The 14,270-nt window shown below is 45.2% G+C and overlaps 1 protein-coding gene across 11 annotated transcripts in view, besides 2 other annotated features; it reads left to right on the plus strand.

The window, feature by feature from the left end:
- Positions 791–930: a silencer, noted in NCBI's record as "silent region_4741". NCBI's record gives its function as "represses an Ori minimal core promoter by ATAC-STARR-seq in GM12878 lymphoblastoid cells {active_cell/tissue: GM12878}" and the evidence as "EXISTENCE:reporter gene assay evidence [ECO:0000049][PMID:35858748]".
- Positions 966–14,270, plus strand: part of ELK3 (ETS transcription factor ELK3) — a 75,450-nt gene continuing 62,145 nt past the window's right edge. For 9 of the 11 annotated variants that reach the window (NR_182213.1, NR_182214.1, NR_182212.1 and 6 more), the window contains exon 1: positions 966–1,296. The gene's annotated coding sequence lies outside the window, so the exon portion shown is untranslated. Of the gene's footprint in view, positions 1,297–4,616; positions 4,734–14,270 lie in introns of all 11 variants that reach the window. The other 2 variants (NR_182215.1, NM_001413761.1) reach the window with 1 other exon arrangement.
- Positions 2,262–2,341: an enhancer, noted in NCBI's record as "active region_6825". NCBI's record gives its function as "activates an Ori minimal core promoter by ATAC-STARR-seq in GM12878 lymphoblastoid cells {active_cell/tissue: GM12878}" and the evidence as "EXISTENCE:reporter gene assay evidence [ECO:0000049][PMID:35858748]".

A 14,270-nucleotide genomic window follows, 5' to 3' on the forward strand; every position in this document is an offset into this window, starting at 1 on the left:
AGCCCTCAGAGGCAGGACCTCCTTGAGGGATGTGGAGGTGTGAAGACCAGTTCTGAGACCACAGAGGCTCCCTTCAAGCCTCAGTCTCTGACCCTGCGGGCATTATTTCCATGACTTCCAGTGTTGTGGCTCCTTATCCTTTCCCCACAGGCTCGCCCCCCAACTGAGGGCTGGCTTTTTTATTTTTTTGAGACGGAGTTTCGCTGGTTGCCCAGGTTGGAGTGCAATGGGGCGATCTCAGCTCACTGCAACCTCTGCCTCCCAGGTTCAAGCGATTCTCTCGCCTCAGCCTGCCAAGTAGCTGGGATTATAGGGACCCACCACCACACCTGGCTGTTTTTGTTGTTGTTGTTTTGGTATTTTTAGTACAGACGGGGATTCGCCGTGTTGGCCAGGCTGGTCTCGAACTCCTGACCTTAGGTGATCCATCCGCCTTGGCCTCCCAAAGTGCTCAGATTACAGGCGTGAGCCAGCACGCCCGGCCGAGGGCTGGCTTTTAAAACACCGAAAACCCAGACAGGAACGGTGTCCATCTCCAACCCCAGACGGAAACTGTGCCCGCACCCACAAGAAAAGCAGTCCTTTGCCCAGAGCAACCAAACCCTGAACCCCACTCTCGATTCCCCTCTGCCCCCCAACTCTTCCATCCCAGCGGATGGGAAACAGCGAGTCCAGCCGCCTCCCCACCTCGGGACCCCCCTCCCGGGCCAACTGCGCAGGGCACGACCCCGTCGTGGTGCCCCGCGCGCTCGACCCCCAGGGGTTGAGGTGAGGAGGGATCCCCGGTGTCCCGGGAAGCGCGGCGGCTTCTGCGGGTTGCGGGCGGACCCCCCTCCCCGTGGGGAGGGGCTGCGGCCGCGCGGAGTCGCCGCGGGTCGGAGGCTCCTCCCCGGGGTGGCCGCGCAGGAAGCGGGGCGGGTGGGGGCGGTGCGGGGCGCGCACGGGGCCGGGGCGGCGGGGGAGGCGCGGGCCTGGGCGGCCAGCCCCGGCGCACAGCCGCGGCCGGGGCGCGCGGCGCGGGGCGGAAAAGCCTGTTTACACAGACTGCACACCGCCTGGGGAATAATGCAGTAAAGGAAGTGAGCCGGCTCGGCCTGACTGCTCCAACTTCCTGCTCTCACACACACCAGAGGGGAAAAAAAAAGAGGAGCGAGAGAAAGAAAAAAAGGGGGAAAAATCAGGATCTCATTACAAGAGCCACAGACCGTCTGCAGACGCCTGTCAGCATGGAAAGTCGGGGGCTTTCGCCCGGGTCCTCCTAGAAATTCCCCCCGAAGAAGACTCCCCCACATCTGGGTAGGTAACAGGGCTTCTGCCTGTTGCTCGGACACTTAAAAAGTTTGTTTGGGGGTGTTTTCTTTTTTTCTTTCTTTTCTTGGGCGCGGTGGGGGTGGGGCGGGGGGCGCCGCGGGGTGGGCTGCGGGCCGGGGTGGGGGTGGCGGTGCGTCCGCGCGGGAGGGCCGGCCGCGGGGAGGGGGCGCCGCGGATGCTCCTGCGCCCGCGTCGCTGCCACCGCCGTCGCCCGAGCTCGCGCCGGGCCCGGGGCTGCGGGGACCCTGCGCCCGCGGCTCCCCTCCCTGGGGCTGCGCTGCGACCCCAGAGGAAGGGGCGCCGGGCGTGCAACCCTGGGAGCTCGCCCAGGGCCCCGCTGCAGGCAGCGCGGGGAGCGGGGGACGGCGAGACTTCGGGTCCCTGGGAAGAACCGTGGCAGGAGCAGGCTGAGTGCCTGGAGGCTGGACCACCGCCGACCTTCCAGCTGGGACCGCAGTCAGGCTCCCCTCGAGTGGGCAAAGTGCACTGGTGCTCGGATCCAGGGAGGAAGACAGGGATGGAGAGGGCGGTGGAGGACATGGGTCGCGAAGGTGTGGGGCTGGGGGCTGCGTCCACTCTCGCTTGGCAGGTGACCCCCGCCCAGGTCACCGCCCCAGGCGCACGCCCCATCGGACATTTAAAAGCCGGTGGTCTCTATTGGGCATGGTTTTGGAGAAGGACCAGGCAAGAAATGATCTTGGGGCCCCTTCCACTCCCCATCCCTGTTTACCTTCGAACTCAACGTTGGCCTGTGACGCTACTGTAACTTTTGGGGAGGCGGGATTAAGATTTTGGAGTAGTTAAAAAGCAAAAATAAAAGGTCTTGGTTTTGTTATCTTTTCTGAACCGAATCATCCTAGGGACAAGCTGCAGTTAGGCGGCGGGTGGAGGTGGAAGCAAGAAATGTTATTTCAGAAACTGCAAAAGGGGCTTTTTAGAAAGAAAAAAAAACGAGTGTCGGGAGAGTTTCTGGCTTGTCTGGAAACGGCAAGACTAATTGCCATGCGCTTCCGCTTTGAAACTGGCAGCAGACAGCATCTTGAAAATGACTCACTAGAGGAGCTCACAAAGAAACTGTGGTTTGCTCCTTCTTAGGTTTATGTATTTGTGCCTTTTACAGTTTCCTTTGTAGTGTTCGAGGGGTCCCCCGCCCCTTCCCCGCCAGCCCCCTCCCACCCTCCCTCATTTGAAAGCCCCTGGCCGGTCTTTAACTACCCCCACCCCAGTCCTCCAGCCTGGGGGTGGCGGGGAAAGGGGAGGCTGAGTTGTTTTTGGAGTTGGCTGCGGAGAGGGTTAAAGGGATTCTGCTGCTGCAGGGGGAAAAAGTTCCTTGAATTTTCCACTGGCTGCTGCAGGAAGAGAGAGCCCCCTTAGTCATTGCTAAGTAATGTCTGCACACACACCAACTAATCTCATTAGGAGTTTCCGCTGCTCGGCACAGGAGGGGTTTTGTGCAGCCACTGTCAGCCTGGGAGCCCGGCGCTGGGGAAGGAGACAAGTTATGGCTTTATTTACTTAGGGGTGCAGCCGCCCAACGAGCCTTTTCAGGACATGTCTTGAAAACTTTGAAGTCACTTTGGCCATTTTGGATTTCAGATTTGCAGGTTTTTCTTTCCCGCGTGTGTATGTGTGTTGAGAGGTGGGGGGAGATAAGCAGCTCACACACACCCATCTTCTCCATCTGTGCTTGTCTTTGGGGGTGGGGGGGGTGTGGAGCATGTTCCAGGCATCTATTCATGAGCCGAAATCGATTTGTGAGCCTTACAAAATACCCTCTGATCTCTTTTTCTTTCTCTCTCGCCATGGCACCCATTTATTTGGAAAAGGTCAGTTAGGAGTTTCAATTTATGAGGATGATAAAATTACAAATTGTGTTAGGAGGGCACATGGGTCAGGCAGTTAAGGAGACTGTCCATAAGTGTTCTTAGAGTTTCCAGTAATGATCCTGCCTAGAAACCCCCCTGAGTTTGAAAAGTGATGGCCTTTCTATGCCAAATATAGCAAAGGCCTTCTGCCCTCTAAAAGTGTTTTTTTTTTTTTTTTTTTTTAATTTAAATGTTGCGTAGAAATGTGTGGCGTTACTAAAAAGGGTCAAAAGGAACCTGATTGGAATGATGGGGCCCCTTTATTGACAAAGACATGTTGCTTTTAAGGTGTTGGCAGTTCTTTTACGGTGGCAAAGTTGTCCTAAAAACAGCCCAAACAGCCCGACCGGGGTATGAGTCAGTGGACATGAGTACAGGATGTCCCTAATGCTATGCCTTCACAGAGTAGGTGCTCAATAAATTGTAGCATTGAAAGCTGTGAGTAGGCTAACAAAACTTATAATAGGTAAGAAAAAAGACTTACGAGATCTCATACATTTTGCATGAGTGTTCCTTAAGAATGGAGGTTGTAAACTCTCTCCAGAGTACATTTCCTTTAAATAAAAAAGGGAGTATTTAGAATTCCTCCTTCTAAGTAATTATTTGGGACACATAGGTTCATTTACGTTAGTGGTTCACAACTAGGAGTAATTTTACCTCCCAGGAGACATTTGGCAATGTCTGGAGATGTTTTTGGTTGTTATAACTAAGGGGGTGCATTGGCTTCTGGAGGGTAGACGCCAGGGGTGCTGCTAACCAGTCAACAATGCACAAGAAAGAATTTTTTTTGCCCAAAATGTCTATAGTGGATTGAGAAAAATCTTATTTACTTTAATGATGATGAAGATGATGAAAGCTCTTTAACACGCATTCAGTCAACAAATAGGACATTTAAAAGTCATCATCTGTAATTTTGGCCACATACGTAACATAGCATTCATGAATTTTCTCTTTCTCTTTTTGGTCAGTAACATGCAATAATAGAGTGACATACGGATGGTGACCTTGTGATGGTGTACCCTTTATGTCCTGAATTAGGCCATCCATCTCTGAAACTCTGCAAGTATAGCATCTTCATGCACTTGGTACCAATGCTGTTGAGACCAGAATGGCAGTAGTCCAGATAGGGGAGAGCAGTGATTTGCCAGCTCCATTTGAGTTTTGAAGTTAACCTAAACATTTATTAAAGACCTCCTCTTTTTCTTATATAAAAAATTAAATAAGTCAAAAGTGCTAATATACAGTACATGTAACTCTGAGGTCATATATTAAAATTTATATTTGTAATAACTTTTTGGAACTTGAATCTTTTCCTGAAATTGGTTTTAAAGGACTTCCAGGCAGTGTATGTAAATTAAAATATTCCCTTCTTAGCTGTCAGATATTGGATTTTGTGTGTTCTGTGGGACCCAATTATATTTATATATCTATCTGATTCAGAAGACCAGTATGGTGCTGTGAAATGTTGCAAAACATGACCTGATGACAACCCAAAACACTTCATAGAAAACTATCCAAGAATGTGACTTCCTGGAGTAGAGTCTTTTTTCACTGAGGGTGAGTTGCTGCTTACTAATCGTTAGTTTTGTTGCCTTCCAATTCTAAGGAATGACTCAGTCATCTCCATGTTTCCCAGACCTGGACTTCCTCATGAAACTTTATTTTTTTAATTGTTTATGTTGCCAGGGCTGGCCTTGCACTCCTGGGCTCAAGTGATGCTCCCACCTCAGCCTCCGCAGTAGCTGGGGTTACAGGTGTGAACCTCTGTACCAGCTGTCTCATTAAAGTTTAAAAGAAATGGGCTGTCTGTCCATTCTGGCTTTGTTCTGGCTGTAGAGCCCAGATGACTGTCTTCTGACCCTTTCCTAAGGTTCTGTACATAAATACGCAGATGAGAGGGGAAGGGGACTCCATTTTTGTTAGATTTTCTTGTATGTTTCAGGCAAAAGTTTTTTATGTCCTGGTTATCTTTAATTCCTCTTTGCCTGTATAGATCGACTTATAACACACTTTGAGACCATGCTAGCAGAATAGTATCTTCTAAAGGTTGGTTGTTTTTTTTCCTATTGTAAAAAATATTAATGTGAATTGCCTTACAAAGATACAGAAAACTGCTATAAAAAAATAGACATCTCCCATAATTCCACTGTTTACCTTTTGATGTGTAATTGTTCAGTTTTTTAAAAAAATGCATATGTGTGTCTATGTATATCCACACATGCACATACCATTTTTAATTGAAAGCACACTGTACTTACTGTTTTATAACTTTTTTCACTTAACATGTAACACATTTTAATAATTAGTACCGAGACCGAAATTATCACATAGAGCTTCTATTTATTGATCTAATAAATGTGTTGGCTCAACCATGGATTGACATAATTTCTTCATAGACTTGTTCAGTGTTTTTTGTCCTCTGTGGTTCAAGTAATGTTCTAAGAATGCTGCCCTCTTGAAAGACTGAGTTCCTATGTGCTGTGAAATTTTGGATTTTGATGAGTTTCTCTGTGATTTAAGGATGAGTCATGATTTGCAGTAGAATATCAAGATGTAGTAACAGGAAGTACAGGGCACTACACATGAAAATAGAATGTTAAATGATGAAGAGAAACCAGGTTAAACTGAAAATATACCTTGAAATTATCCAACTATGAAGGGAGAGGAAGGTGTGTTTTGTACATTTTAACAACTCCTATTACTGTTTCATTTTCTATCAGTGGAGTTTCCAAACTTTGAAGTTGGTGTTTTAAATTGATTTTTAGCTCAAGATTGCTGTTGTTCATAGCCACTTTGAATTGAGGTCATTCAGCCTTTTGATTGAAACCATGGCAGTGAGACCATGAAAACTCTAGTTTTGCCACTTATAGAGCAGCCCCAGTAAATAAAATTAGCTGTGTGTGTGTGTGTGTGTGTGTGTGTGTGTGTGACCTTCTGTGAAATTCTAAATGTCTTCAAAAATGGTAGATTACTCAGTCTTTTAAATAACTATTCTGTGCAGAAATTCAACTCCCCATGGTTCCTGCCTGAAACCAAAATAAAAATTGCCTTTCATCCATTACTGGAGATTTACATATATGTCAGCAGTTTTAAAGTAAACTTTGAACTAGTCATTTCAATAAATTGTGATTTGGTTTGAATTCCCACTAGGAATAAAGTCATTGACTACTTTATTGCTATGTATTAATTTACATTTCCTGGAAAGTACTACTTTTTTCTAAGAATTAAATAAGATTATAACATGGCTTTACTTGTATATTTTTAAAGAAATTTAGACAATGTTATATTAGTGTATTCTAATTTGAATTAGACTGAAATGAATTTACTCACACACTCTAAAACAAGGATCTATTTATGACACATAGTGTCATAAATATGCTTAAAGTTTCTATAGCTAAGAACAATTTCTGAATATCCATGTGTAATATGGGAGTGATGGGATAGGTATAAAACACTTATCTAGATACCTTCTCTTTTTATTTTTTAAATTGATATAAATGTACATATTTATGGGGTACATAGTGATTTTTTACATATATATCATGTATAGTAATTAGATCGAGGTAATTAGATCCATCATCTCAAATGTTTATGATTTATTTGTGTTGGGAACATCCATTATCTTCCTTCTAGTTAATTGAAACTATATAGTATTATAGGCATCCTGCAGTGCTATAGAACACGAGAACTTACTCCTCCTGTTGGAGACCTTCTCTTAAGACTGATGAAGCTAGGGCTCCTGTACTCCAAGCAATAGAGTAAAGAAAACGAGGCTCTTGGTATCTTCCCCTCTCTCTTTTTTTTAAGTTGAGGTATGATTTACATATATTAAAATGCGCAGATCTTAAGTGTTATTGTATACATACATGTAACCCTACCCAAAGAGACAATATTTCCATGTCCCCAAGTGTTTTTTGGCTTATGTATTTAGAGACAGAGCCTGGTTCTGTCACCCAGGCTGGAGTGCACTGGCACTGTCATAGCTCAGTGCAGCCTCAAACTCCAGGGCTCAGGTGATCCTCCTGCCTCAGTCTCCCAAGCAGATAGGACTGCAGGTGTGCACCACCACACCTGGCTAATTTTTTTTTTCTTTTTGAGACAGTGTCTGGCTCTGTTGCCCAGGCTGGAGTGCAGTGGTGCAAGCTTGGCGCACTGCAACCTCCGCCTCCTGTGTCTAAGCAATTCTCATGCCTCAGCCTCCCAAGTAGCTGGTATCATAGGCATATGCCACCATGCCTGGCTAATTTTTGTATTTTTAATAGAGACGGGCTTTTGCCATATTGGCCAGGCTGGTCTCAAACTCCTGGCCTCAAGAGATCTGCCTGTCTCCACCTCCAAAGGGCTGGGATTAACAGGAGTGAGCCACCATGCCTGGCCTCTGGCTAATTTTTTTATTTTTTGTAGAAATGGGGTCTCATTATCCCTGGCCATTTACAAAATTCTGTTACGGCAATTTCATGATTCTACCATATAGATTCTTAAACTTCAGAATACCTTGATAAAATATTGTGGTATTTTATTTAATCTGCTTAGTTAAAAATAAATCAGAATGTGTAGATTTCCTCATCATACAGTAAGAGGAAAAAGAAAAATCCTTTCTGTATTACCTGATATCCGCAAAATATTTAACCAAAAGTAATATGTGTGCTTTAGGAAAAATGTATTACCTGAAGACTAATTGGGATGAGAGGATATTAGTAAATCTTCCCAGACCTCAGTTTCTTTAGCCTGATGGTAAAGTAGTTGAAGTGGAGGCTGGGTGCAGTGGCTCACATGTGTCATCCCAGCATTTTGGGAGGCTGAAGCAGGCAGATCACTTGAGCCCAGGAGTCTGAGATCAACCTGGGCAACATAGTGAGACCCCATCTCTGCCAAAAATTAGCTAGACGTGGTGGTGCGTGCCAGTAGTCCCAGCTACCCGGGAGGTCAAGGCTGCAGTGAACCATGATTGCGCCACTACACTCCAGCCTGGGTAACAGAGTGAAACCCTGTCTCAAAAAAAAAAAAAAAAAAAAAAGGGATTGAAGTGGAGAAGCTGAGATATACTCCCTTTCAAGTCGGAAGCCCTATTTGTGTACTGCTATATTTGGAGGAAAGGTCTTGACTCCTAAGAGTTGTGAAAGTGTGATATGAACTTCTTGCTGTCATCTCCAGACATCTGACTTATAGACATATGCAGGAATTTAAACAAACAGCTATTTTGTGGTGGAAAAGGGGGATCTCCATAAGTTTCCCCTTGAATTCCATTTTGGCCCCTTATTGAATAAGGAACACTCCAGTGGAAGGCCAGTATTAGCTGCCATGCTTCCTTTCCTCCTAGTCTTTTGAGGTTTGTGACAGGCAGCACTGATTTCTAATGACCCACAGCCACCTCATTCTTGGGGACATCAGTGACTGTCTGAGTTGGTGCTCTGTAGCACCAGATAAGAGTTTGGTCACCTGGTGAAATTCCTCCTCCTTCCTTCTGATAGTCTTTGAAAGTGCTGTCTGCCCCCACTGCTGTATCTTGAGGGTTCTTACATTCCTCTGCACCCGCTCTGATCCCTTCTCTCCCCAGGAGCTAGAACAATCCTTTCAAAACACAGATCTGACCAGGTCATTCTTCTACTGAAAAATCTTCTAGTGACTTCAGCTTAGGATAAAGACCAAAACCCCTAACTCAAGCTGCAAGATGTGATTTGGGCCAGCAAACTGACTTTTCCTCAGTTCCTCAAATGCTTAAGGTGTCCTCTGCCCTCTGTCCACTGGGTCTTTGTCAATACTGACAGAATTTTCCCCCCGACCCCTCTATTTTTCAGACTCCATGCCTAACCAATTTGTAGGCGTCTTTTAGTTCACACTCAGCTCCACCATGTTTTATTGGGGAAGCCTTTCCTGTCACCTAGAGTAGATCTCCCTCAGTCATCTGCTCCTGGCCTTCAGAGCCCTTACCACAAGCTTTTTTTTTTTTTTTTTTTGAGAGATGGAGTCTTAGCCTGTTGCCCAGGCTGGAGTGCAGTGGCACCATCTTGGGTCACTGCAACCTCCACCATGTGGGTTCAAGAGATTCTACTGCCTCAACCTCCCAAGTAGCTGGAATTACAGGCTTGTGCCACCACACCTTGCTAATTTTTGTGTTTTTATTAGAGACAGGGTTTCGCCATGTTGGCCAGGCTGATCTCAAACTCCTGGCCTCAACTGATCCGCCTGCCTCGGCCTCCCAAAGTGCTGGGATTACAAGTGTGAGCCACCATGCCTGGCCACCACAGGCTTTATTTACAGGTTGCCTCATTACCTGAATTCTCTCTCTCCAAATTCTTGTTACCCAAACACAGGAACATGAGATGGAGTCTCGCTCCGTCGCCCAGTCTGGAGTGCAGTGATCTCAGCTCACTGCAACCTCTGCCTCCTGGGTTCAAGTGATTCTTCTGCCTCAGCCTCCCAAGTAGCTGGGACTACAGGCATGCGCCACCCCACCTGGCTAATTTTTGTATTTTTAGTAGAGACGGGGTTTCACCATGCTGGCCAGGCTGGTCTCGAACTCCTGACCTCGTGATCCACCCGCCTCAGCTTCCCAAAGTGCTGGGATTACAGGCATGAGCCACCATACCTGGCCAGGAACTAGACAGTTTTAGAGACATCTTTCTGAAATAGGGCTGGTGCCCCTCATTATTCATTAATGCTATTTTCTCCAAAACCCGGGAACCAAATAGATGTGATAGCATGGCATCCCTCATGATCTGAAGTTACTGTCCGTAACTGCGGTCCCATTCGATTTGGATATTGGGGGATGCCTGCACGTGTCTGTGTCATGTGCTGCATGTCTGCGGTGCCATCAGTCTGTGAGCTCCCTCTGGGCCTGCGTCCGTTTTTCTCATCCTTTGTATTATCTCAGCACTTTGTACAATACCTGGCACTCAATGAATTAAAAATAATCTGAAGCGGGGGTTGGGGGGAGCTTGTCAATATAGCCCCACCTTGTTTTGCCCTTGGACTTGATAAAGCCGTTTGTTGCTATGCATATGTCCATCTCTTTTCTAGACAATGAGTTACTTGGATGAATAGGCAGATCTCTTGGTTAAACCATAAAGACAGGCTGGGCGCGGTGGCTCACATCTGTAATCCCAGCACTTTGAGAGGCCGAGGCGGGCAGATCACTTGAGGTTAGAAGTTCGATACCAGCCTGGCCAACATGGTGAAACCCAATCTCTACTAAAAATACAAAAATTAGCCGAGTGTGGTGGCGCATGCCTGTAATCCTAGCTACTTGGGAGGCTGAGGCAGGAGAATCGCTTGAACCCGGGCGGTGAAGCTTTCAGTGAGCCGAGATTGTGCCATTACACTCCAGCCTGGGCAACAGAGCGAGACTGTGTCTCAAAATGAAAACCCATAAAGACAGCCAAAAAGCTCCTCTATGCCACTTCCCATACTTCTTGTTTAGACTTGCAAGAAAAGTGGATATATAGAAATGAGGTTAGTTTGCTAGTATCCTGGAGGACAGGGTTTGGCTCTATTGTTGGTATCAGTGTTACTATACTGAGAGTGGTCGGTTAACAGTAAAGTTATTCGTGGGATAGGATATGTTGAAAGAATCTCAATGTAAAGTTTTTTTTTTTATAGAATTAATCATTGTAGAGCAACCATCATTAGTCCTTTATTAAAGACTTCAGTTGATCAGGTTTTCGTAGTTCCCTTGGATAACCAGTTTTTAATCCTGTAAGATCCACAGTTCAGGGTCCTTCTTTACTTATAGAAAACCTGTGTGTGTAGCTTCCATCTATACCTTTTTGAAATTAATGATGTTTCTGATTGAGTTTGGAAATAACAAAAGATTCTGCTTACGTGATTATGAAGACTTGATTGACTAAACACCCAAACGGGGGAGGACTAGGTCTCCTAATAAATTTCAGCTGGGTTTTGCCAAGGAGCAATTTGTTGATAGGTCAAACCTTGACTAAGCGGAATGTATGATTAAGGAGATTTTTCTCCTTGCACGTAATTGTCAGAATAGAGAGATTACATCAACAACAGCAGCAGCAGCAGCAACATCAAAATAAGCCCGAAATTATTCTAGGGTAGCTGCAGGAATTCTCTGTGGGAATCAACAGTAGGAGTTCTCCTCTGCTTGCACCTGTAGGTTGTCATCATCCTCAGAGTTAATGATCCTGAGGCTCAGGAAGATCATACTATTCTATTAAGCCAGAAAAGGAGGTGTAAATGTTAGAATGATTCCCTAACACTAAAAGTTAACAATATTTCTCTGGTTAACGCTCATTGAACTGGAAATGTCACTTCCCCTCTTCATCCCCTTATTGGAGTTTGGAAGGCTCGCCTTTAGAGGCTCAGATGCAAATCCTTGTTGGAGTTGATTCACAGATGAAAGGGCTATGCCCTGGAAGGTGAGGAGTGTGTATGCGCCTTTACGGATGTGGGCTGCAAGAGGGAGGTCTGTGTCTGAGAGAATGGGACAATAGGTGACTTCAGTTGGTGCTGCTCCTCTTTGCAGAGTCACTACCCATGTAGGATTGAAGCCCTGGTTCTGTGAGAGGGTAGGAGCATAAGTGAATGTTTACTAACCGTCTCCACCCTTGAAGAATCATTGTTTCACAACGAGAAGTCAGGAGAGAACCTAGATTTATTACAGAATTTGCAGGAAAGAAGAAAGCATAGATTCCTGATCACCTCAGCACATCCCATTATGAACATACAGAGAGGGGACCAAACCATTTAGTATTATCTTTGGGACTGTGTGTGAGGTGCAGTACCTCAGTTTCCTTGTATGATCTTGAAACCCTCTGGCAACTAGAATTCGTGAGCACTGGGAGGCAATTTATTTCTGCTAACATTCCTGTAGATTTTTTCAAGCCCCAGCTACTGATCATTTAGACCAGAGGGCATTGGATGGTTTCTTTTCTTTTTTTCTTTTAGAGACAGCATCTTGCTCTGTCACCCAGGCCGGAGTGCAGTGGCACAATCATAGCTCACTGCAGCCTCGAGCTCCTGGGCTCACATGATCTTCCCACCTCAGCCTCCCTCTGTAATCCACTGGGATTACAGGCTTGAGCCACTACACCCAGCTCTTCTTTTCTTTTTTGAAAAAGCAGTTTAGAACAAATGCCTTGAAATGCTCCAAGTGACACCCGAGTGAGGGTTAGAACTGATTAAACTCCGGGCAGAGAGATGTTATCATATCTTTGCTGCATGCATAGCCCAGTGCAAAAATGCCCATAGATGGACTGACTTCATCTTAGATAGTTGAGGCAAAAACAGAAGAGCCAGTCAGCCACTTGGCGTTTCTGTCCTCACTTAATTCACCCCTTTAGTTGCTGTACCATTAATTCTCGATGCTGGATTGGTGACAAATGAAGTAATCTGAAGAGTGTTAAAATTTTCTTTAAGTGTATTACTTTAATGACAAAACTATATGCTGCTTGAAGGCATCTTGAATCAGATGACCCAAGTGTACTGTGAATTCTCAAAGGATTGGGGGTCACGGCTCTCAAATAAGCTCGTTGCCCTGCTTTGATTTCAATCAGAGCTGAACCACAAGAACAGCATCTTCCTTCAGCCTCTGCCACATCCTTTGTGTGTTTTTTTTAAACCTAAATATTAAAGCCTAGTAGTTTGTCTTTCAGAAAGGAGAAACTTTAAAACCTTGATGTAGATCAGACGTGCACCAGATGATTCAAATATTTTACCTAATGAAAGGGGCAATTTTCTTTTTCTTTCTCTTCTTTCTCTTTCCCTTTTATTTATTTATTTTTTTTTTTGAGACAGAGTCTCACTCTGTTGTCCAGGCTGGAGCGCAGTGGCGCGATCTCGGCTCACCACAACTTCCGCCTCCCAGGTTAAAGCGATTCTCCTGCCTCAGCCTCCCAAGCAGCTGGAACTATAGGTGTGCGCCACCATGCCCAGCTAATTTTTGTATTTTTAGTAGAGATGTTGGCCAGGCTGGTCTTGAACACCTCACCTCGTGATCTGCCTGCCTTGGCCTCCCAAAGTGCAGGGATGACAGGTGTGAGCCACGATTTTCTTTCACAAGGGAAAAAAAAGATCCTCTAAAGCAGGATCTGGCTGTTATTTTGTACAGTTAATATATTCACGCTGAACAATTATTGGAAGAGCAGGTAGAGTAATAAGTTGTATATGACATTTCAAAAAGGGACTGCCCAAGCCAGTGGATGGCAGATGCCCATGTGGGAATTAAGGGCAGCGAGGATGCTTTGGGGTACAGATTGATGTTTGATGTTAATGCCACCAACAGCCAGTCTCTTCCATCAGATGCTTTTGGTGGTCTTTGCATAACACCATTCTCTGGACATGAATGAATGAACGGTTGGTCTGCCCCTCGATGACAGTTTTAATGTTATTTTGCTCATTTATTCAGTGCATCTTGATGGTTAATTTAAAAATCTATTTGAAATATGAGGCATTATGAGAAGACTGTTAAGTTTTGAAATCACTCACTGTCTTATTTTTGCAAGTTTTGGAAATAACAGTACCCACCAGGAACACCAAGCTGTTTTAAAATGTGTTCCACTTACAGTTGTTTGTCTACAAGTCGGGTTTGGTTTAAACAGACATTGAATGAGAGGTGAGAGGGCTGTGCTTGTACTTTTACCTTAACACCACTGTGTTTTTACTTCCTGTTAAAATTAACTTTATTAGAGGTGCTGTATACTTAGAATCCCTCTGCATTTGGCACCATAACCATCATATGCAGCTAGACTTGATGTCCATTGTACAAAAATGTGAGCGAGACATAGGCATGTGGGGAGGGTAAAGCTATTCAAGGGCTAGTGACTACCTTTGTGACTTCAGATGCAGTTAAAATCCCACACACATGTCCACCACATGAGCAGGTGATGATATGTTGAAGACTGCAGAGTCACTGTTTTTTATAGTTCTCTTCCAAAGCGAATGTATTACCATACCAGATTTATGTATAAATGTTTATGCCTGGAATTTGCATTTCCTAAACCATGAAAGAGTTTTGTTGAGAAGAGCACGAAGGAAAAACAGTGAAACTAACCAGTTCCTTGCTTCAGGAACCACCTCTGTAAGGCAGCTCTTTGTGCTTCTCAAAAACCTCTAAAGATGTTGATGGTGATCCCT

Source organism: Homo sapiens, chromosome 12 (assembly GCF_000001405.40).
Source record: "Homo sapiens chromosome 12, GRCh38.p14 Primary Assembly".
NCBI lineage: Eukaryota > Metazoa > Chordata > Mammalia > Primates > Hominidae > Homo > Homo sapiens.